A 22,947-nucleotide genomic window follows, 5' to 3' on the forward strand; every position below is an offset into this window, starting at 1 on the left:
AGAGGGAATCTTGCTCTGTCGCCCACACTGGAGTGCAGTGGCGCGATCTTGGCTCACTGCAACCTCCGCCTCCTGGGTTCAAGCTATTCTCCTGCCTAGCTGGGATTACAGGCATGTGCCACCACAGCCAGCTAATTTTTTTGTATTTTTAGTAGAGACGGGGTTTTGCCCTGTTGGCCAGGCTGGTCTCGAACTCCTGACCTCAGGGGATTTGCCCACCTCGGCCTCCCAAAGTGCTAGGATTACAGGTGTGAGCCACCACACCCCAGCCAAGATAATTCTTAAGAGATACTGATTATTAACTTCAGTCTCCTACTTGAAATTTAAAACCTTAAGTGATTTATCCAATTATATGCTGTCCAGAAAAAAATGCATTCTTATTGCCACAGAGTTAAATCTTCATTAAAGTATCATATATAGCTAATTATTAGTTGAACCTCTATTTGCTTTAAGAGCTACAAATTATTTTGTCTACCAAAAGATTATTTGAAAAGCAGCCTAGTTATGTCCGTGAAAGATATTAGTATATGTTCCCTTTCTAAAAGTCAAAGAAAATGGTCTATACATGGCCCTTTCAACTTGCTAAAGAAGCTAGTGGTTACGAAAAACAGAGAGATAAAAAGCTCAAAAGGCTTTCTGTCATGTCTTAACAGTTTGAAATACAAGAACTTGGGACAATCATGAGGATACTCCTGATAATAAATCTTGAGTACCTCCTCAGAATCACAAAAAGGCAACGTGAGAAAACAAGGAAAAAATGCAAAATATTCAACCTGGAATCTAAGGAATTGCAATCTTTTGGAGAGAAAAACATTAAAAAGTAGGTAGAATTAACAATCTACTGTAGAGAAAATTGAAGAGTGGGGTAATGTATAATTGCAGTCATGATTATATAGGGAGTACCTAAAAGGCAAGATTAAGATCAAGGATGGAAACACCCTGATTCACTAAGTATGAGGAAAAGGTCTAGTTATCCCTGTCAACCAAGAAAGATTCTGTTGTTCTTTTGCAATCTAGACCTACATGGACTTAGGAGCTTTAAAAGTTTGCATCATGAATTTTCTACCGAGAGAGAGAGAATTCAACTTCCACATAGCTAAACCTCTAAGATTATCAAGATTTTGCCTTTCCTGAATGACATCAAGAGTTCTTTGTATTCAAAGACAACGTTGAAAGTAAGCTTAGTGTGAACTAAATAATGCTAAAAACATTTCCTCATTTTGTACCTATGAAAAACATTAGTAAGAAAATTGTTTTCTTCATAAACTTATAAAGTTTGAAATTAAACTCTTGTATACTGAAGCTACTCACCAATGCAGGAAACCACAGTGCTTTCTTTTTATCCAAACTAATGTAATCTACACATACAACTTTGCCTAGTAGCTCATCAATCTGTTTCCTATCATCCTCATCTTCATCACTGGAGGATGATGAAGACTCTTCCTCTGGTCTAGGGAGAGAAAAAAATAAAATATTTCCATTTATCCTCACAAAGAATAAGCATGCCAATGATGAATATAGGTATTCCCAAACTCTTATTACATTTCCTAAGACCTGTAAAATGGCTAATTTAAATCTTAAATCATTTTCTAAATTTCTAAAAAATAACAGCAAGAGTTTATCATGAGAGGAAAGCACATCATTTTCCCAAAAATATTTCTGGTTTATTTAGTGCTACTGTAAAAAATTGAGGAGGAAGATCAGGACAAATAACTGGTTCCCAAATCCTCAAAAAGGTGAAGGCCCCATATTAAACATCCCAGTATTACACTAAAATATACACAATCCCAATCTCAAATTAAAGGAATTCTGGAGACAGTAATTCTATATCTCCAGTACAAAGTTAATTTTAAAAGGTAGGAGAGCAGACCTTTATTAACTGAGGTTAGGTTGGGAAGAGGAGGCAATCTGAAAAGAGATCACCACTGCTATCCATAACAACAAATACACACCAATTAGGTATTCATAAAATGTCCAATAAGCCTCTTTTGTATGATGCTAAAAACTTTCAAAATTAAAAGAAAAACAGAAAATCCTTTCAGTAACATTAAATATTGGACTAGTAAATTAGAAAGATAACTGTCAGAAGAAAAAGGAAGTATCTGAAACCATCAACTTGATGTTTGAGGAAAGTGTAGTAAAAAGGAAAACAAAACAAAAAGCTATTCCAATTTGAATCTGATTCTAATAAAGAATCAGCACCAAAGAAAATGCCCAGAATGAGTAAAGACTAGGAAATGTTTGATGGACAACAACATATGTCCTTTTTAGAATGGCTATTATTGAATACCTACAAAGATAAAAGTGTTTTTCAGATAGTTTGCAATGATCAGTTTCACTGCCCAAAAAAGGAAAACTGACAGATTAAACTACTAAAAAACTTTAAACATGATTTACCTATTTAGTATACTATCTAGTATACTCTGAAGTTGTCTTTGATGCCTTTCCAAAAGTATGACAAAGTAACCGTCATGCCTTTATATTTATATATTCCAATATAAATGTAAACAAAGTGAAAACTATTTTTTTCTTTTTTGAGGCGGAGTCTAGCTCTGTTGCCGGGCTGGAGTGCAGTGGCACCACCTTGGCTCACTGCAAGCTCCGCCTCCTGGGTTCAAGCAATTCTCCTGCCTCAGCCTCCTGAGTAGCTGGGATTACAGGTGCCTGCCACCACGCCCAGCTAATTTTTGTATTTTTGGTAGAGAAGGGGTTTCACCATGTTAGCCAGGATAGTCTCGATCTCCTGACCTCGTGATCCGCCCACCTCGCCTCCCAAAGTGCTGGGATTATAGGCGTGAGCCACCCCACCTGGCCAAAAAAGTAAAAACTATTATAATAATATTAAGCTTTTTAAAGTGACATGGGGAATACCACCCCCTTGATTTCAATGATCAGTCAAATAACTTAAAAATTGTTCCCTGGCAGAAACAAAGCAAATCTTCAAAGCTTGCTATTGAATAGAAGTACTGTACTTTGGCTGGAAGTATTGTACTCCCAGCACTTTGGGAGGCGAAGGCAGGTGGATCACCTGAGGTCAGGAGTTCGAGACCAGCCTGGCCAAAATGGTGAAACCTCGTCTCTACTAAAAATACAAAAATTAGCCAGGCATGGTGGCGGGTGCCTGTAATCCCAGCTACTCTGGAGGCTGAGGCAGGAGAATTGCCTGAACCCGGGAGGCGGAGGTTGCAGTGAGCCGATATCGCACCACTGCACTCCAGCCTGGGCGACAGAGTGAGACTCCGTCTCAAAAAAAAAAAAAAAGATGTATTGTACTTCAATGGCACTTAAAGAAGTTCAATCTCTACTTAGAAAGTAGGTAACAATAAGAAAACTCAACCACCTTTACATTAGTGGAGAATAAGACCCTACACATAGACACACAGCTTGGGACAGTAACGACAGTCCTCACAAGTCTGATTTCTACTTGATTTACAAGAGCTTAAGAGTAGTGACTTTTTTTACTGTCTAATGACTACAGGATACAACCAAGCTTAAAATCATAATTACTGCTTTCTCAAAGTAGCCACAGAAGACTCATTCAGCTAGGGGTTTATGAACACTCTATTATCAGTAGCAGCTAGAAAGCTACAATGTCAGAGATAACACATATCAAAATCTGTACAACATAGAGAAAATTGGGCTTTATTTGACTAACAAAATTATCTGCATCATTGTAAAAATTGTAACTTTTCTTAAGACTTAACAAGTGTTAAGACTTCAGATTTCACAGTATATCAAAAAGAAAAACAAAACACCTTTGTTCAGCTAGCTGAAACATCTATCCACCTTACATATAAAATTGCAAGGTTCCTGTCTAAAATCATCTCCATTTTTAGACTAGATGCCCCTTCCCCCTCACCTACTCAAGACTTTGTTCCACCTTATTCAAATTTACAGTCCCTGCCCATCTACCTCTTTTCATTTTGCTCTTCATTTCCACAGCATTCACTTTTATCATACTATATAATTTACTTATTTCTTATGTTTATTCTTTTTTTTCACACCAAGTATGTGAATCCAATGTTTAATTCGCTATCTCCTCCCCTGAGAGAATGTAAGCTCTCAAGTTGAAGATTTTTTAAGTAATTTTTTTTTGTTTATTGATATATCTCAAGTACCTGAACAATGCTTGGCACAGTATAGATGCTAAATAAATACTTGTTCATAAAATAAAAAAGATGCATTTATTTTTTTATTATGGTATTTCTGATTTTTATTCTAAAATCACAAAATGTATACATCAGTGTAAACCATACTATTACACATGAAGCTCCTTAACTTTTCCTTTTAGAGGAGCTTAGCCAGAAAACTGTTTACACAGGTACTCAATAAACTAATGAACTAAAATTAATGAGCATCCAAAATATTTTACAGGAGCAAAGACAGAGCAAGCAGAGAGCCTGCTTGATTTTTATTCATTTCTGACATTGTTATTTCTTTGGTGGCAAGGTATTTGTAGAGCCACAACAAAATAATGCGCTGTCTCTATGAAATAAAATCTGATGATGTCACTAGAAAGAAAGCTAATTACATGGAAATTTTTACCATAATACTCTAACAGCCAATCACTTAAAGCTGATCACACTTCACTATTAACTCTAATTAGTTGTAAATCAAGAAAGACGAACTTTAGACAAGATATGGGCCAAGGAATACCAAATAATGATACAAATTGAGCTAGAAACAAGAGGCTCAACCTTTGACATGCAATTCTGATTATTTTTTATTTTAGGCAAATCAGTTTACTCAGTTTCAAACTTTGTAAATTGAAATGTTCTATTAGTATCTGGAAGACTGACAACGTATACATACCTTCTTAGAAACACACAGAACCTATGTACGCTTAACTATAAAAGGGTTTTAATTTTTTTCTCAATTTTTATCAAGGAGGAAATGAATCAAATTCTCATATTAAAATAAAGCGGCAAAATAAAAAGATCTTCTGGAATTAGTGATGATAGTTACACAATTTTATGAATATACTAAAAACCACTAAACTGTACACTTTAAAAGGGTGAAGTATTGGATACAAATCTACAGATTAAAATATATGAGTAAATTTTATGATACATGAATTATACACTAATTTAAAAATGTGTTCAGATCTGCAGGCCTGTATTTAAATAGCAAGTATAAACCAGGTATTGGGTAAATCTTAGCACTGTTACTGGGTAAAATCCATACTCATAAATAATCCCTTGTTAACAAGATTCATTGTAAACCTTATGCTTTATCTTTTTTCTGAAGGGGAAAAATATAACAGCAAATAGACTGCTTTCCTATTGTAGCAGTTGCACATAAACTTTTGCCAGATTATGGGAAAACAACTTCAAGAGGAGAGGGACAAACAAGTATTTCCATAATTTCAGGTATTCTATTCTTCTGGATGACTTAAACACAATCGCTGCAAACAATGGGTAAGTTATAAGGAGAAAATTCAATCCAGTAATACATTGATTAAAAGAATCAATAACTTGCTTTAAAAAAAATTTAGCTAGAGGATGATAATCATTAAAAAAAGAAAATACTTGAACTTACTAGGATTAAAGGTAGAATATACTGAAACTCAATTTAATGGAAGATGTTAAAAGTAATCAATTTTGGAATAACTAGGGGTAGATTAACTGATACGTGGAATAACAGCTGCTAAAAGAAAACAAATTTGGTGATACATCACTCCAACAACGAAGTCCTGGGAATCCTAAGAAGAGATAACTTTACATATCTTTGTACAAAAATACATTTTAAATGGCAATCTGAGATCACAGCAAAGACTTTTTTCAATGGAGTAATGGAAGAGGAAATGAAGGTCAGATGAATGCCCTTAAGATCTAGGTTTAAGACTTTGTTGCAGAAAATCACTTTGAAGAAAGGGGAGAAAGAACTTTGAGGAAATGTAATCAAGGAGATGGGCATTTCAAACTGTAGTACTTGCCTGTAATGCTTACACACCAAGGCTTAAAACGCCAAGCAAGAGTAACATTGTCAGGTTCCTTGGCAGTGAGAATGACCAACCGTGGTAGAGAAGGGCAAGGAAGAGCAAGCAAAACAAGATTACAGATGGAGCAGGTCTTCATTCCTACACTAGTAATCTTCAACCTTTTGTCTGCATTCATACTTTACACATGTATAACACAATCTCAACAGCAAATCTCTCATTACACATAGAGATTCTCAACAGGAAAACCACTAACTTAGAATGTTTGCTGGAGTCTTTAGAAAGCAAAGATCAACTTATTCAGCAACAAATGCGTGCTTTATTCTCATATTCACAAAACGGACGCCTCAACTAAGAAACATCTAACAGTTGGGGAACGACAGAAGAGGAAATAAAAAATAACTGACTTTTTAACAGATCATAATTTTTAGTCACATTTGCAGGTCAATATTACGTGATATTGCACAATAAATTCATTTTTAAATTTATTTTTACACTTTAGGATGATGTGTATAAAATCGTAAAAATATGTCTAAATACTAGATGCAATCTTCTAAAAATTAAAAAAACTTATTGACAAATAAGAGACTATTTTTCCTATAATATATATAAAAACGTAGAAATTTTTTAAAGTTCGAATAATTCAGCAAGAACCAGTCCTAATTGTCAGACATAAACACCAGGAAGCAGAATTTTTATATATACATGTAAACACATTTTCATATATAAATGAAACTGTTACATACTGGTATTTCATCATGAAATTTTTCATGTCAGTATATGATGTTGATTATCTAGTACTTATGTAACATTTACTCTATAAACACTTAAAGGATATGAATTCACTTAATTTTCACAACAACACTAAGAGATAGGTAATATTATTATCCAAATTTTATAGATAGGAAGTGAGGTATGAAAAGATTAAGTAACCATCCCAAGATCACACAGCAAGGAAGTGGCAGAGCCAGGATTCAAACCCAGACCAACTGGCTCCACAGTTCATACTATGCCAGAGAATTGGGTTTACAGGGGAGAGAAACATCTCTGGTTTCAAGGAAAGTGTGGGGAGACACAAAATGGTTCACATAAAGGTTTAAGCATTTTTGTTGAGAATTAAGGCATGGACAAGACAGTTACCAGGAAGGGAGGCATGGAGACCAAAAATAATAGCATGAATAAAAGCATGATATTAGAAAACAAGCGATGTATTCAGGAATTATTGACTGGTTTCATTTTGACTACAGCATCAAGATAACATGCAGGGAGAAATTGAAGGCAGATACAGCTGTTAAGTAAGGTTGGCTGAGCATGGAGAACCTCAATCACCCATGCTGAGGAGTCTGAAATTACTATTAGATCCGAAATTACTATTAGATCTGGTTAGCATTTTGCAAATTACAATTTTAAAATAACTATAAACAATACTAGAAGGAGAAATGAATTCAGGTTCAACTAACAGTCATGAAAATGGACTTACATATGATTAGATCTTCTTCCTCTATTTGTTTTCTTTCCTATGACTGGAGTGCCAAAATGCTCAGGGTTGGTGAGTGGGAGCTGGTCTAATGTCTGTGGGTAAGAACATAAACCCATCAAAAAATTAACACTTTGCAAGTGCCTTCTTTGTTTTAAACCAAATCAATTTAAGAATATGCTCAGATTTTGAGATTAAACTCTCCCCCCAGGGAAGCTAAAACACAGCTTTCCTAAAGATAGAAAATTCTAGTTTCAAAGATATTAGAATAAAGATGAATGAGCTCATTACTGGAAAAAAAAAGTGAAAAGAAATTTGGCTGCTCTCTCTAGATGATTCATTACCTATGTGAAGGTTGATAGGCATCTAAGAATGATTAAAATACAAAACAAACACAGCTCAGTGGAAAGACAAATGTGAGAATTAAGAAATCTATTTGTAAGGTTAGGGCCAACTGCAGCTCCAATATTAATTTGTACATGGGGAATCATAATCCATAAAATAAAATTATTAATAAGAAACAAAATTAATTATGAAGATAAAGCATCAATCGCACGAACAAAAAGCCTCGGAGTAAGTTATATTACTACTCTGCAAACATTTTCTGCAATAAACCTTTTTTAATAAAATGTAACATTAATTTAATTTTTTAAATTACATTTAATTTCTACATTTGATTTTTTTCCTTTCCTACGTTTTCTTAAGATTTTCCACAGTTTCTGTTCCTTTCCTCATCCTAAGAAGAATCTTTCCTGTTATAAATAATTTCACAAACATCAGAGCAACTAGAGATTTCCAAGAAAACTGCCCAGATGAAAATAAAAGTGAGGAACTATTTAAGACAGAGACTTCTTAAAGATACAAACCAGGGTGGTATAAGAAAGAGTATCCATGAACTTAGAATTAAAGAGCAGGCATCTAAACTAATGTAATATGTAAAAAGAAATGTTATATAACTTTTTTAAAATTGAGACAATTTTGTTATAACTACAATGAACAAAACTGTGAAAAGATGAACCATATTAACACTTTTTTACATAATTCATTAGAATATATGTAAATGTGTTTAAGGTACATAGATGTATGTATCTAACAACGAACAGTATGATCAAGAAAAAAGGTACTAGCCATAAAGGATTAACTAAAGATTGATTCCTTCAAAAGACTGACAAAAATCATAGCTTTCACAACTCTCATAGGGCAAAAAATCTAATCTTTCAAATTTAGTTTGTACAGAACCTAACCCTGTCCTAATGAACCTTAAATCAGGCATTTAAAAAATATTATTTGGGCCGGGTGCAGTGACTCACGCCTATAATCCCAGCACTTTGGGAGGCCGAGGCAGGTGGAATACCTGAGATCGGGAGTTGGAGACCAGCCTGACCAACATGGAGAAACCCCGTCTCTACTAAAAATACAAAATTAGCCTGGCATGGTGGTGGGTGCCTGTAATCCCAGCTACTCGGGAGGCTGAGGCAGGAGAATCGCTTGAACCCGGCAGGCAGAGGTTGCGGTGAGCCAAGATTACACCATTGCACTCCAGCCTGTGCAACAAGAGCGAAATTCCATCTCAAAAAATAAAAATAAAAATTATTTGGAGGCAAAAACTGTCCTAAACTCAGTATATACCAAACAGAAACTATTTTTATTGAGACAGAATGTCACCCTATCATTCAGGCTGGAGTGCAGTGGCGGCATGATCATTGCTCACTGCAGCCTCAACCTCCTGGGCTCAAGTGATCCTCCAACCTCAGCCTCCCAAGTAGCTAGGACCACAGGTGTGCACTATCACACCCAGCTAATTTTTGTTTTTTGTAGAGATGGGGTTTTGCCATGTTGTCCAGGCTGGTCTCGAACTCCTGGGCTCAAGCCATCTGCCCAACTCGGCCTCCCAAACTGCTGGGATTACAGGCATGAGCCACCACACCCACCCGGAAAATCTAGACGTTGCCTGTCATTAACTCCTATGGTGAAAATTTCTATGTAATCTGAAATATTATTTTGGTAATACTGTATCACTATAGAGTATTACTAAATGACTTTATTTGGTAAACAGGGAAAATAAATTAATCCGGATTCACTTTCTGTCAAGCAAACAGATGGATTAAATGTATGCTCTCCCCACCGAAAATTAAGGTTGCTCTCTTTAAAGCAGAAAAATAAAAGAGAGAGAGAGATTTATATCACACAGTGTGATTTCTATTTTAAGTATCTGTTAGTCATTTCACTTGCTACAGGAAAGAAAATTTCTAAAGAGTTGTTTAAGAATCACACATAGTAATTTTCAAATAAGAGACCACAGTCTCTCCCTAGTACATAACAAGAAGAAACATAAGCAATATCTCTGTCCCTATCTCAATGTCCAGGAAAGTAGGGGCATGTTTGTTTCAAGGGACTAAAAAGACCTGGGGGTAGGGTAGAATTTGTCCCATCTTAGACCTAAAGAGCAAAAACCAGAGGCTCCTGAAAGCTGTATTAAAGGCACATAGAAAACTCCGTAGGCCTAGAGGGAAAATGTCTATGGCCCTGTTACCTAAAATGGGCTGCAGAAAATATGGAACTGGGATTTTACCTAAACTTCTCTAGAGTTTTCAATTGCACATAGTAAATACAAAGAAAGAATACCAGATAATTGGCTGGGCGCGGTGGCTCACGCCTGTAATCCCAGCACTTTGGGAGGCCAAGGTGGGCGGATCACTTGAGGCTAGGAGTTCAAGACCAGCCTGGCCAACATGGCGAAACCCCATCTCTACTAAAAATACAAAAATTAGTCAGGCGTGGTGCTGCACGCCTGTAGTCCCAGATACTCAAGAGGCTGAGGCACGAGAATCGCTTGAACCCGGGAGGCAGAGGTTACAGTAAGCCAAGATCATGCCGCTGTACTCCAGTCTGGGCGACAGAGCAAGACTCTGTCTCAAAAAAATAAATAAATAAATAAATATCAGATGATGAATCTACTTTTGTATAATACTCAAAGTATGAATGGTCTTTAGAAATACCTAAACTGTCCTACAGATGTTAGGCAGCAGGTAACATACTCATTAAGCTGGTTATGGCTAAAACCAGTGGCTTCAGTGTTGGAATTTAAACTGACTGAGGCTGGGCGTGGTGGCTCAAGCCTGTAATCTCAGCACTTTGGGAGGCCAAGGCAGGCAGATCATGAGGTCAGGAGATCGAGACCACCCTGGCTAACAGAGTAAAACCCTGTCTCTACTAACAAATATTTAAAAATTAGCTGGGCGTGGCCGGGCACGGTGGCTCACACCTGTAATCCCAGCACTTTGGGAGGCTGAGGCGGGCGTATCACGAGGTCAAGAGATCGAGGTCAGCCTGGCCAACATGGTGAAACCCCGTCTCTACTAAAAATACAAAAATTAGCTGGGCGTGGTGGCACACGACTGTAGTCCCAGCTACTCAGGAGGCTGAGGCAGGAGAATCACTTGAACACGGGAGGCAGAGGTTGCAGTGAGCCGAGATCGTGCCACTGCAGTCCAGCCTGGCGACAGAGAGAGACTCCATCTCAAAAAAAAAAAAAAAAAAATTAGCCAGGCGTGGGGGCAGGTGCCTGTAGTTCCAGCTACTCGGGAGGCTGAGGCAGCAGAATGGCGTGAACCTGGGAGGCGGAGCTTGCAGTGAGCCGAGATCGCACCACTGCACTCCAGCCTGGGCAACAGAGCGAGACTCCGTCTCAAAAAATAATAATAATAATAATAAAATAAAATAAAAAGATAAACTGACTGAAGTGCAAATGTGATCTCTTTCCATGAAAATCCTGAATTTCAGTGTTTATGAGATGGGATTAATTTCAGTAGTTTATTAAATGGGATTAGTGACCCAAAATACTGGCAGTATGAAGCAGCTTTCCTCTTAAAGGACAATGTTATGGACTACTACTACTACTAATACTCTGAATGGTCTTTCAAAAACGTTAAAACTTTTAAAACAATATGAAAAATACCAAATAAAGAGAAAAGAACATACAGATGGTAGATTAAATTCCCCTATTGGGTGCACTCTGGACCACATCTTCACAGGGCTTAATATACTCAAATTTTAAAATATGTTTGATTGTTTGATTAATGCTTTTTCTCCTCCAACGGAGAGTAAGTATCCAAGGATAAGTTCCATGTTTACATGGCTTGGTTTGATTAATGCTTTTTCTCCTCCAACAGGGAGTAAGTACCCAAAGATAAGTTCCATGTTTACATGGGTTGGCTTAACCTTTGTCCCGGTACCTAGCACTACACAGCTCCGGGCACATGGGAAGGGAATTGAAGAATCACACACCAGTATTCTAATTTCCTTCTAGCAAAACATAAATTAGAAGTACACACCTGCACAGACACACTAAAACTGAACCTCCTTGAAGATATGAAGGATACATAGCCACTTGTTCATATTACCTTCAGCATTTAACTTACAACTGTCTTATGAACCATTCCAACTGAAAATTCTCCTGGTTAAAAAAAATAATATTTTGGCTATTTCTCTAGACTAAAAAAATAAAATGCAGACCTTCACTTAACAGGAGAAAAACCATGTCTTCAAGTCCTCATACTCACTGACTGTACGGAAATGAAATTAAAATAATTCCACGAACTCAGGGAGAATTCTGTACTTTATCACTATACTTGCCCCAAAGCTGTCTGTATTTATTGTATGTAAACCTTCAGTTTATTCCACACATATTTATTGAAGGCTTTTGTGTAGAAATTGCTAGGAAAAGGGGGGCCTATCAAGTGAGGAAAGAAAGGATATTCCCCTAAAACAGCTTAAAATCTTACAGCAAAAATGAGAAAAGTTAAAAAAAAAAAAAGGTCCTAAAACAAGAATAAGCAAGAGAAGTGCAAAACGACCAATTTGGGTAGAGAGCTCACGAAAGACATAGAGGAGGAAGCATTTATAATGGCCTTCAACATAAGTGAGATTCCAACAAGAGGAAAGGAGTCAATAAAGGAAAGTATGGACCATAGTCTGAAAATACCAAGCAGTCTAATAAGGCAGAAGTACAGGGAAGTGGTTGAATATGAGACTAAAGGGATAGGCTGGAATTATAATACAGAGAACCTGTCCAAATTCTAAATTTAAGTGGGAATTCAATCATTAAGAGAAGCAAAAATTTTTCAAAACAAAAACATAAAGTCTAATAGGTTAATAAGTAATATTAAAATATCCCCAAAGAAACACTATTCCAAATAGTGTTTAAGTAATAACACTACTAAATAAGTAATATTAAAGTAATATTAAAGTAATAAATAATAACAAATAAGTAATATTAATTAGTAATATTAAAATATCCCCAAAGAAACACTATTCCAAATAGTGAGTAGAGAAAAGAAATAGCTCGGCCACACTGTGTATCAATGAATATCTGTAGACTGGATTAGAGAACGTAACACCATTTAGAGCAACATCTACCTTTTAAATTCTGAATTGCAAGCGAGTTAGTTACAAAACTTTGTGAACCCTCTGCTCTTAGTAACATCTTTCAATTTAAGGATATGGCTTTGGTGCTAGAAAGTGCTGGTTAGAAAACCAGCTCTAGCTATCCATTTCCTAATCTGAAAGTTGGGGATAATAATAGTAACTACCTCATAATGTTGCAAATACAATAATGTATGTAAAGCACTTAGCAAAATCCCTGGCAATTATAAGCACCTCATCTATTCATCCAACTAACACTTATGAAGTTCATACTCTGCATCAGGCACTGTTACAGCAACTAGGAACAAAGCCATGAAGAAGATATACAAAGTCTCTGACCGTGTGACACATTCTAGTGAGGAAGGCAGACAATAAATAATTATGTACTCATATTTTGATGTTAGGGAATAAGACCTAAATCAATCTGAAAGGATGATAAGGAATGGAAGGGACAATTTTAGGAAGGGCAGTCAGGCAAGAGGAAAGGGCATAATAATATCAGCTAATAGCAGTAGCAGTAGTTAAAGACTGTTGTATCTACACATCCTTTAACTACGACAAGGATCAAGTAGATTACAAATCAGAAATCTGTTTTCTAGTTATTTACAAATTTTAAGTCTGTTTAAAAACTGCCTAAAGATAATAATTAAAGCCCATTGTATTTTCTCTGTGGACAAATACTGAAACACTTTACATAGACAAAAAAGAAGACAGAACCTGGTGCTCAAACACAGGGCCTTAAACAGGCTTCACAGATTACATCATAAGGGTATTGTGTATTAATGAACTTTCCTGATTAGGAAGTAGGTTTACTGAGTTGAGAAAGCAAAAATTTATTCCTCCCAATAAAAAATATTAAGACATGTTCATTTGTTAAATGATGACTTACTTCACTTTCAGCAAAATGCCTCTCTCCTTTCAGGCACAGTGAAGATCGTCTCAGTGTCTTCTCATCTCCGTCATCAAAAACTATGAGAGGGGGTAAAAATGGAAGCTACTGAAGGATTTTTTCAAAGATCAAAGAGATGACATGTATTACAATTTTCTGAGTGCAAACAGATCTACTATTTAAGACTACATTTGGAATTCAATTCACATTTTATGTTTTCTAGTGAGTAACTTCAAATATAGAGTTATTAAAGTAACTTTTCCAATTTCTAGTGAAAAAGAAACAACATATATGAAATGAAAACATCTTGTATAAAACAGGATATACCAAATAAAAATAAGAAGTTGGTATTTCAAGAGGAAAACATTTAAATGCTAATTAACTCTTCTCAAAATGGTAAAGAAATGACAAGTTTTCCTACTGACAGATATTGACAGATTTACCTAAGAAAGATTACAAGTATATGCAATCAGACTGCCCCTTTAAAAAAATAACTGTATTTTCATTATTTAAAGTAGGGTTTCTCACCCTTAGCACTGTCACTAGTGACATACTGCACCAGAAAATTCTCTGTTGTGGCAGGCTTGTCCTGTGCACTGCAGGATATTTAGCAGCACTCCTGGCCTCTACCCACTAGATGTCAGTAGCACCCCCTTCCCAGCTGTGACAACCTAAAATGTCTCCAGCTCCAGGCATTGCCAAATGTTCCCTGGGGGTAAATTCATCCCAGTTGAAAACTAGCGACTTAAAATACTAAAATGTCTATTAAAAGGTGATGGAAGTGTTAAGCAACTTGGCTGCAGTAATTACTTCACAATATATTTGCCTATCAAATCATCATGTTACATATACATTTATATGATTTTGTCAATTATATCTCAATAAAGTAGGGGAAAAATTTTAATAAAAATAAAGTACTTAAAGCACCCCAGCAAAACCACCATAAGTTAACAGATATGGAATGTATGACTATTTGTATTATATGCATAAATCTGTGATATACATAAATAATTTAGGGATATGCTACATTCCTTAGAAATCATGGGAAGACAGTAACTCTGTTTTAAATAATGTTACCAGATCTCTATTTTAGAAATTACATTTTCTGCCTACCTACTAAAATTAGATACTCTTCTTTCCTTTTCTTTTTCTGATGCTCAACAGGATCTCACGTTTATTGAGAAATGATTAATGGTTAAAAGAAAGCCAATACCCTTTCCTTACTGGCTGAACTAAAATTAGATTCTTATACGTTACATAACAAGTTACATTATGTGAAACTGGATAAATAATTTTCAGTACATCTTTAAATGATGTAACTAAAATATACAACATAAGTGTCACATTTAGTAGACTATTACAACCAATCACCATCTAGACTTCCTACATAGAATTGCTCACAGTCTTCTCACTTACATAAAGTCAAATATTTCCTTATGTCTCAAAATCAAATAATTTTCCCTCTATTTTCACCAGGTTTTATTCTCACACCAAAGAAGTATAAACAAAACTCACCTATTCTATCTGAAAGTTCTATCAAACTCTGAAATCACGAAAGACATTTTACTAGGTGTTTACTTTCATCTCTGAGGTCATTAAATGGTAAGAATTGTTACCTTTAATAAATAATACTGGAATAAATGGCTACCAATCTAGGACAAATACTTTTTAATCATTATTTTAGAATGTTGGAAAAAATACATACTACTGTAGGTGAAATAAAAATCTGTTTGTAAAACAAAAATAAAAATAAATTTAAAAAGTATAAAAAATTTGAAGAATACATTAGAAAATAGATTTATAACACTGATGGAAGGCTTTAAGATTCAAAACTAAAATTACAAAATAAAAGGTGACCATACAAAAACTGACTACATGAAAATTAAAAGCAGAGACAAGAATAAAGCAACAGGAGAAATATATTTATAACTGAAGTAGTAAACAGTTAATATCCAAAATATATAAAGAACACATATACCAAAACTAATAAGAAAAAGATAAATCATCTCAAGAGAAAAAGGGAAAGAATAAAAGAGCCAGCAACTCAAAACGGAGAAAACACAAATGAAATTATGTTCCTTTCAATAAACATATGAAAAGATGTTCAATCTCACTAGTAATCATGGGAAGGGCATACTGAAACAAAACTGAGATACTACTTTATGTCCAAATTAGCAAAAAATTTTTTTAAATGACATAAAATCTGACAAGGATTGAGAAAACAGACAGTGTCTTTTAGGAAGGCAGTTTTCATTAACTACTAAAGTTTTTGGAGTATATTTTTCTTCAACCTCTATTTCTCAGTATGTACACTAAAGAAATACTAGGATACAGTAGGTATCCTAATTAAGTACCTAATTAGGTAAAAAAGACATTCAATCCAGCATTTATTGTAATAGTAAGAAAACTGGAAACCTCATCAGTAAGAAAAAATAAACTAGCACATCAACTATTATAAAATACACTACTACTTTGTTTCCTGCTGGGAGCTAGATAGATAGATAGATAGATAGATAGATAGATAGATAGATAGATATATATCTCTCTCTCTCTCTCTCTATATATATATATACACAGTTAAAAGACATTTCTATTATAAAACAACATGAATATCCTTAACATTACTGAACTATAAACTTAAAAATAGGTAAGATTGGGGAAAAAAAGAAATTTACCTAAGATATACTTTGAAGTAAAAAAAGCTAGAATTCCAATTGCATAATATACACATTAAATAATTTCAATTTTTGTTACATATACATACATATACTTTGGAAATAAATTTTTAAAAGATGTGGAAAGATAAAATCCAGTAACAGTAATAATATCTAGGGTATTAAGAAGTGAATCCAGGAAATTTCATTTTATTTGTATTAAGTTTTCTTTGTGTAACTAAAAACACATTTTTAAAAGAAAATTTATTTTCTTACCTACAGTGTACCAACTCGCATCTGTTAGTTTATTGATAACAGCTTCCTGATATGCACCATCAAGATTCTTCACTTCCACAATAGCTCCTACCTAAAGTATTTTTAAACATGTTAGAAAAACTTTTAAAAGGTAAATTAACAAACCAAAACCTGGGTTTGTTTTCTTTTAACTGAGTGCATGATGGTGAAGAATAAAATGACTATTGACTTCATTTAAAAGTACCAGCAGTTGGCGTGAGCACAGTGGCTCACGCCTGCAATCCCAGCACTTTGAGGGGCTGAGGCAGGTGGATCACTTGAGGTCAGGAGTTCGAGACCAGCCTGGCCAACATGGTGAAACCCCGTCTCTACCAAAAGTACAAAAATTGGGCAGGCGTGGTGGCAGGCGCCTGTAATCCCAGCTACTCGGGAGGCTGAGCCAGGAGAATTGCTTGAGCCTGGGAGGTGGAGGTTGCAGTGAGCCGAGATCGCGCCACTGCACTCCAGCCTGGGTGACAGAGCAAGACTCTGCCTCAAAAAAAAAAAAAAAAAGTGCCAGCAGTTTTACCGATCAATATTTTTGTACCATCAGTGAAAATGTTAATGTAGTAAAAAAGGCAAATAATACCTAAGTACTATTATAAAGTTTTACCCTTACAACCCCCGCCAAAAGAATCCTGGGAACCCCCAGGGTCAGTAGACTACACCGTGAGTACCACCATCTGTGAAACTGACTGTCCTTGCCCCGTATTTCCACTCTTCTTTCAAGGAACCTCAGGAAGGATAGGGACAATTTAAAAATTGCTCTGGGGTTTCCTTTTGGCCCTAAACCAGCCAAAGAGCACATAGTGGTTTACCCACACATTCTCTTTTAGCTTGCTCACTGGCAAAAAGCAAAGCAGCATTTATTTCACTTGCCAATGAGGAAAAATGAATGCAAAGAAATAAAACTCTCCAACTGTTAGTGTAAAGGCTGATGACCCTTAAAAGATTTCATTTGCCAGTAGTGGCTCCAAAGAAGTAAGAGCTCCGATTTTTTTGGTTTTCTAACTTTCTCACTTTTCAGATCATCGTGGAACTGACATCACTAATCCCTAGTTCATCATCTATTAATTTTGGAAAATCCATCATTTTAGTAATGGAAATATGGTGGATTAAGTAAATAAATGTAGTCAATGCTTCTTTGATACTCATTTTATTTCTGAATAAACTGGTTTTACTACCATATCAAGTATTATTTAATATTAAATCTTTTTTTTAAAAGACAGCATCTCATGCTGTCCCCAAGTGCAGTGTACACAATCATAACTTATTGCAACCTTGAACTCCTGGCCTCAAGCTATCCTCCTGCCTCAGCCTCCTTAGTCACTGAGATTAAGTCTATTTTTTCTATTAGTCTTTTTAGAGAAAATTACATATTGAATTTATCAACTCAATAACAAAAGAGCCAATGAATTAATACCAAGTATGATTATTTTTTCCCAAACAACCATTAGAATTAACAATGAATACATGAATTACCTTTAGTGGGCCCTTTATGTGGTCATCCTGAACTTCCACTGTTGAAGAATCATGTCTAAATGTCACCTAGAGATTATAAGTTTAATTAGCCACCAAAAATAAACCAAGCAACACAAGCTCATCAATGCACCAATTATTCATTTGTAGTAAAAGAAATATAAAATAATAGCTGCCTAGTTTATACAACATCCCAATCCCTAAGTAGATTAACTAAAAAATTATTTACAGACAACTGCTCAGACCGTATCTGTTTTCAAAAATAAAAGTAATCAATGATAGCACATCTAAATTACTAGATGTTCCACATGTCATTTTTTTTTTTTTTAACTTTTTTCTTTTTTGATACACAGTCTCACTCTGTCGCCCAGGTTGGAGTGCAGTAGCGCAATCTTGGCTCACTGCAACCTCCACCTCAGGGTTCAAGTGATTCTCCTGCCTCAGTCTTTCAAGTAGTTAGGATTACAGGCACCTACCACCAGGCCAACTAATTTTTGTATTTCTAATAGAGATGGGGTTTCAACACATTGGCCAGGCTGGTCTCAAACTCCCAACCTCAAGTGATCCGCCCGCCTTGACCTACCAGAGTGCTGGGATTACAGGTGTGAGTCACCACGCCTGGTCCCACATATCATCCTTTATTTCAATACTATCAGTTATGAATTTAGTTGTAAAATTGCTTTTCCTAAAAAATGAGAAAGAAAGATATGGGGATTTTAGGCTATTAGGTATTATATCATTTTGTGAAGGCCTACCTTAATAATAAACAGTAGCAGCAAACACTTAACTGAGATCTGAGCATCAGTCTCTAGTACCAAACATTTAATCTTCACAACAACCCTATTAGGTAGGTATGACTGTTCCCATTTTGTTGATAAGAAAACTGAGAAACAGGCCAGGTGCGGTGGCTCATCCCTGTAATCCCAGCACTTTGGAAGGCCGAAGCAGGTGGATCACCTGAGATCAGGAGATGGGACCAGCCTGGTTAACATGGTGAAGCCCCATCTCTATTAAAAATACAAAAATTACCCAGGCATGGTGGCGCATGCCTGTTAATCCCAGCTACTCCGGAGGCTTAGGCAGGAGAATCACTTGAACCAGGGAGGTGGAGGTTGCAGTGAGCCGAGATTGCGTCACTGCACTCCAGCCTGGGGGACAGGGCAAGACTCCGTCTCAAAAGCAAAACAAAACAAAACAAAAAACAGAAAGTGTAAGTACCTGGTCCAAGTTTACAGAGCTAGACATGGTGGAGCTGATATTTAAATGTAGGCAGTCTAGTTCCAGAACTTTACTGTGCTCTATATCATTACAGAAATCAGAGAATGGGAAACCAGAGGTGAAAAGAGTAAGTTAAAATAATGAGTTCAAATTTAAATACTTAATTAGCTGGTGAAAAACAAGATAGCTTCCACTACTCAGTATAGAAAACAATTGTTTTCTCTAACAAGGGAAAAGAGTTCTTATAGGGATTGAATCATTAACATGGTCTTTATCAGGTATATGTGATAATTATTTTAGGTAACAGGCAGGCCCACTCAAAAACCAGCTATGAAAGGAGATGCCTTATACCCACAGCATCCCAGGCATTTCTGTGTCATACAAAAGCATTATCACACTTTTTATTTAAATCACATGTTTAGATATCTGTGCCCTTCACTTAAACTATAAGCTACTTACAGATGGAGACTAGGTCTTAACACTAGAGTTTCACCTTTAGATAGAGCTTAGCACATAGTAAATGTTCAACAAATGAAAACAGGTAGTGAAAACATATCAACAAATTTGTTAAAAATATATTAACTTTGAATCATAAAGAAATTACACATGTTAAAAAATATATCCCTATATCTACTGACAAAATCACTGAATGAAATACACTTTCTTTTTCCTTGTGTATGTGTTTTAATGGACATCACCTCCACAGAAACAAATTTTTAGGGCAGCCGAAAAAATTAAAAATAAGCTTTAGATATTCATTACTTATAAAGCACAAGGTACTCTGTGCTATCAATAGAGGCAGTAGAGTCCAGTAAGAGTTTTGTTCCTTTCATTTACAGCAAGAAATGGCAGGACTGCTACATGTCATTTTCCTAGTTCATTCATTACACAGGAAATGTGCAGCTAAGGATGCAAGATGGGGCTTAAATCCAGCCTTTGCTTTGTGGGCCAAAGCATGGGTCCTGGAGTGACACAGCTCCAGTCCAAAGAGAATGTCTTTTCCAACTGGCACAAACTTGCTATCTGCATGCCAAGCGCTGCTAAGAAGGCTTTCCACCAGGAGAGAGGGCTTTTGTCTACTTCACACAAAGGTGATACATGTGCTACCAGTAGTCCTGAAAAAGTACAAACATTGATAAAAGGCTTTCTCTTCCTCTACAGGATAGTACTGGCAAAAAACAGTGCTTGGGGAATACCAGTGTGTGAAGCCAGAACAGGAAATGCACACTATAAAAGCACCAACCACCAAGCATGTGGAAACTGAAGGTAGGGTGGGGCCAAGACTAGCCCCCTACCAGTTTGTAGTTAATTTAAAGGACTTATCACAATGGTTCCTAACCAGGAGTGTAAATTAGAATCACCCAGGTAGCTTTTTCAACACATCCATGCATAAGGAATATAGGAACAGTAAAAGCTCCAGAAGAGACTGATACCCTCCACAGAAGCACAACACCTCTACAGTCTATGTAATTGGTGAAATAAAAACCAATGGCTTAAAAGGTATCTGCTAATCTAGATTATAAATTCCTTGAGGACAGATCAGGTCAATCTCATCCTAATATCCCCATCCTCCTTCCCACCTAAAAGTTCCCTGCAAAAGGTTTGTCACTCAATAAATTATTGACAAATGAATAAATGTCTATATTCAAGTTCACTTGTCTGGTATTTTTCAGTGCTGATAATTTATTAAAATGGAAGCAATTACACTCCTTTTTCTATATTAAGACAAAACTCAAGTACTTTAGAAAGATGTTTCAAGAAAGGCAGAGCATAAGGAGTCAACAACTAGATGTACCTTATTTCACTGTTATCTAAGGCACCATCAATTACAAGTCACATTCTAATTTTATGGCTGAAATAGAGGGGGTGATGCCTTAAAATTGATGAACTATGGTAGTTCCAATTCTGCCATGAATTTGGCATAATGGCCTTGGAGAAATCACTAACCCTCTCCGAGCCTCATTTTTCTTGTAATAAAATGAAGCAATTAAACTAGATGACTTCTAACTTCCTTTCCAGCTCTAAAACACTATACAAACAATAAGACGTCTATAGTGAAATGGCATTCAAAATACCAACTGTGATAATCTAATTTCTTTCCAATTATAATACTTTTAAAATAACAAAAAATGCTTTGTTTTGAGGTATTTTTACAACCTTCACTCCTAGAAACTTATTTTGCAGAAAAATCTTAAATACACTCACCAAATAAAAGTTTACATATCAAATGCTGAACATACAATTTATGAAATCTATAAATACTGTACCTTGACTTTGACAAGTCTTTTTGCTGTCTTGATCTTGGCTTCACAAAAGGCTCCTCTGTATTTAGCACTCACATCAGTGCCCACTGTCAAATAGGGAGGCTCATCAAGGGCCTAAAAATGCAAAGAAATATAATTAGATTTAAACTCTCTAATTCTTTCCCATAATCAGACCTCAGAATAGTGAGCCTAATCTTGTTAAGCTACAACAGTTATAAATATGAAATGTATGTTAACAAGACCAATCTATAAAATACTATAAATTAAAAAACAAGTAAAATGTTTATCATAAAGACTATTTAAATGTACATCACATAAAATATAAAGGTATCTTATTTCCATTAAATACATATGGTCCATGATATGAATTAGCTCACTCACAAGTATACCCCTCTAGTCACTCATTCATTCAAATATTTATTTATTCTATGACCACTTACAAGAAAAGGGTCCGTTGGCCAGAAGGCAGATCTTTAAAGCTCAAATTCTGGGGTGGGGGGGAAATCTTCTAATATTTAGGCTGTATCTTGGCAGTCACCCAGATTCAGAATAGCTCTGTTATATCTCTATCTAGAAAAGTCTAAGGTAGTTTAGTGTAGTGCCTGGTGTGGTGGTTCCTGCCTATAATCCCAGAACTTTGGAAGGCCAAGGCTGGAGGATCACTTGAGCCCAGGAGTTTGAGACCACCCCAAGCAACATAGGGAAAACTCAACTCTACAAAATAAAAAAATAAAAACTGGCTGGCTATGGTGCCATGCGCCTGTACTCCTAGCTACTTGGGAGACTGAAGTGGGAGGAGTGCTTGAGCCCAAGAGGTCGAGACTCGAGTGAAAAGTGATCGTGCCACTGAACTCTAGCCTGGGCCACAGAGTAAGACCCTGTCTCAAAAAAGCAAACAAAAAAGAATGTAGTATAGCATACAAGGGAGAAAAGTTAGTATATTTAAACTACTAGTGAAAACTATATGAAGAAAGTCATCTGGAAAGTCTCAAAACTTTGAAGCCAAAATATCTTAAATGCTTTAATAGGAGGGATTCGCTGGATATTTACTCTTCTACCTTAACTAATATTTATGTTTCCTCAGTTGTGATTTAGTTTTTAATAGCTGCTCTTACGTTTTACATTCAGGTACATTTCTACATTTTTATTTCTAAGGAGTTCTTCTGCTTATAGTAATTCCATAGCCAAAGGAAAATCATGGAAGTAAGCTTTTTCCAAAGTGCTTTATAAAAAGTACTAACATCCCAGGACGTTCCACCAAAAGGAAAGGAGGCAGGAGTTGGGGGAAATTCACTATATTGAATGAATTA

General features: G+C 35.8%; 1 protein-coding gene across 9 annotated transcripts in view, besides 1 other annotated feature; it reads right to left on the minus strand.

Annotated features, from left to right (window-relative positions):
• The window catches only part of ARID4B (AT-rich interaction domain 4B), a 161,278-nt gene that overhangs the window by 72,100 nt on the left and 66,231 nt on the right, over positions 1-22,947 (minus strand). For all 9 annotated transcript variants that reach the window (NR_135074.2, XM_024447626.2, XM_047422531.1 and 6 more), the window contains exons 3-8: positions 21,641-21,751; positions 18,159-18,224; positions 16,659-16,749; positions 13,729-13,808; positions 7,419-7,510; positions 1,312-1,450 (exon numbers count right to left, since the gene is read on the minus strand). Coding sequence is in view for 8 of the 9 variants with exons in the window: in XM_024447626.2 (XP_024303394.1) it covers positions 1,312-1,450; positions 7,419-7,510; positions 13,729-13,808; positions 16,659-16,749; positions 18,159-18,224; positions 21,641-21,751 (579 nt within the window). In the remaining variant the exon portion in view is untranslated. The remainder of the gene's footprint in view (positions 1-1,311; positions 1,451-7,418; positions 7,511-13,728; positions 13,809-16,658; positions 16,750-18,158; positions 18,225-21,640; positions 21,752-22,947) is intronic.
• Positions 14,273-14,567: an enhancer, noted in NCBI's record as "tiled region #13312; HepG2 Activating non-DNase unmatched - State 12:CtcfO". NCBI's record gives its function as "activates a minimal TATA promoter and a strong SV40 promoter by Sharpr-MPRA in HepG2 cells {active_cell/tissue: HepG2}" and the evidence as "EXISTENCE:reporter gene assay evidence [ECO:0000049][PMID:27701403]".

The sequence above is a fragment of the Homo sapiens genome, chromosome 1, assembly GCF_000001405.40.
Source record: "Homo sapiens chromosome 1, GRCh38.p14 Primary Assembly".
Classification (NCBI taxonomy): Eukaryota; Metazoa; Chordata; class Mammalia; order Primates; family Hominidae; genus Homo; species Homo sapiens.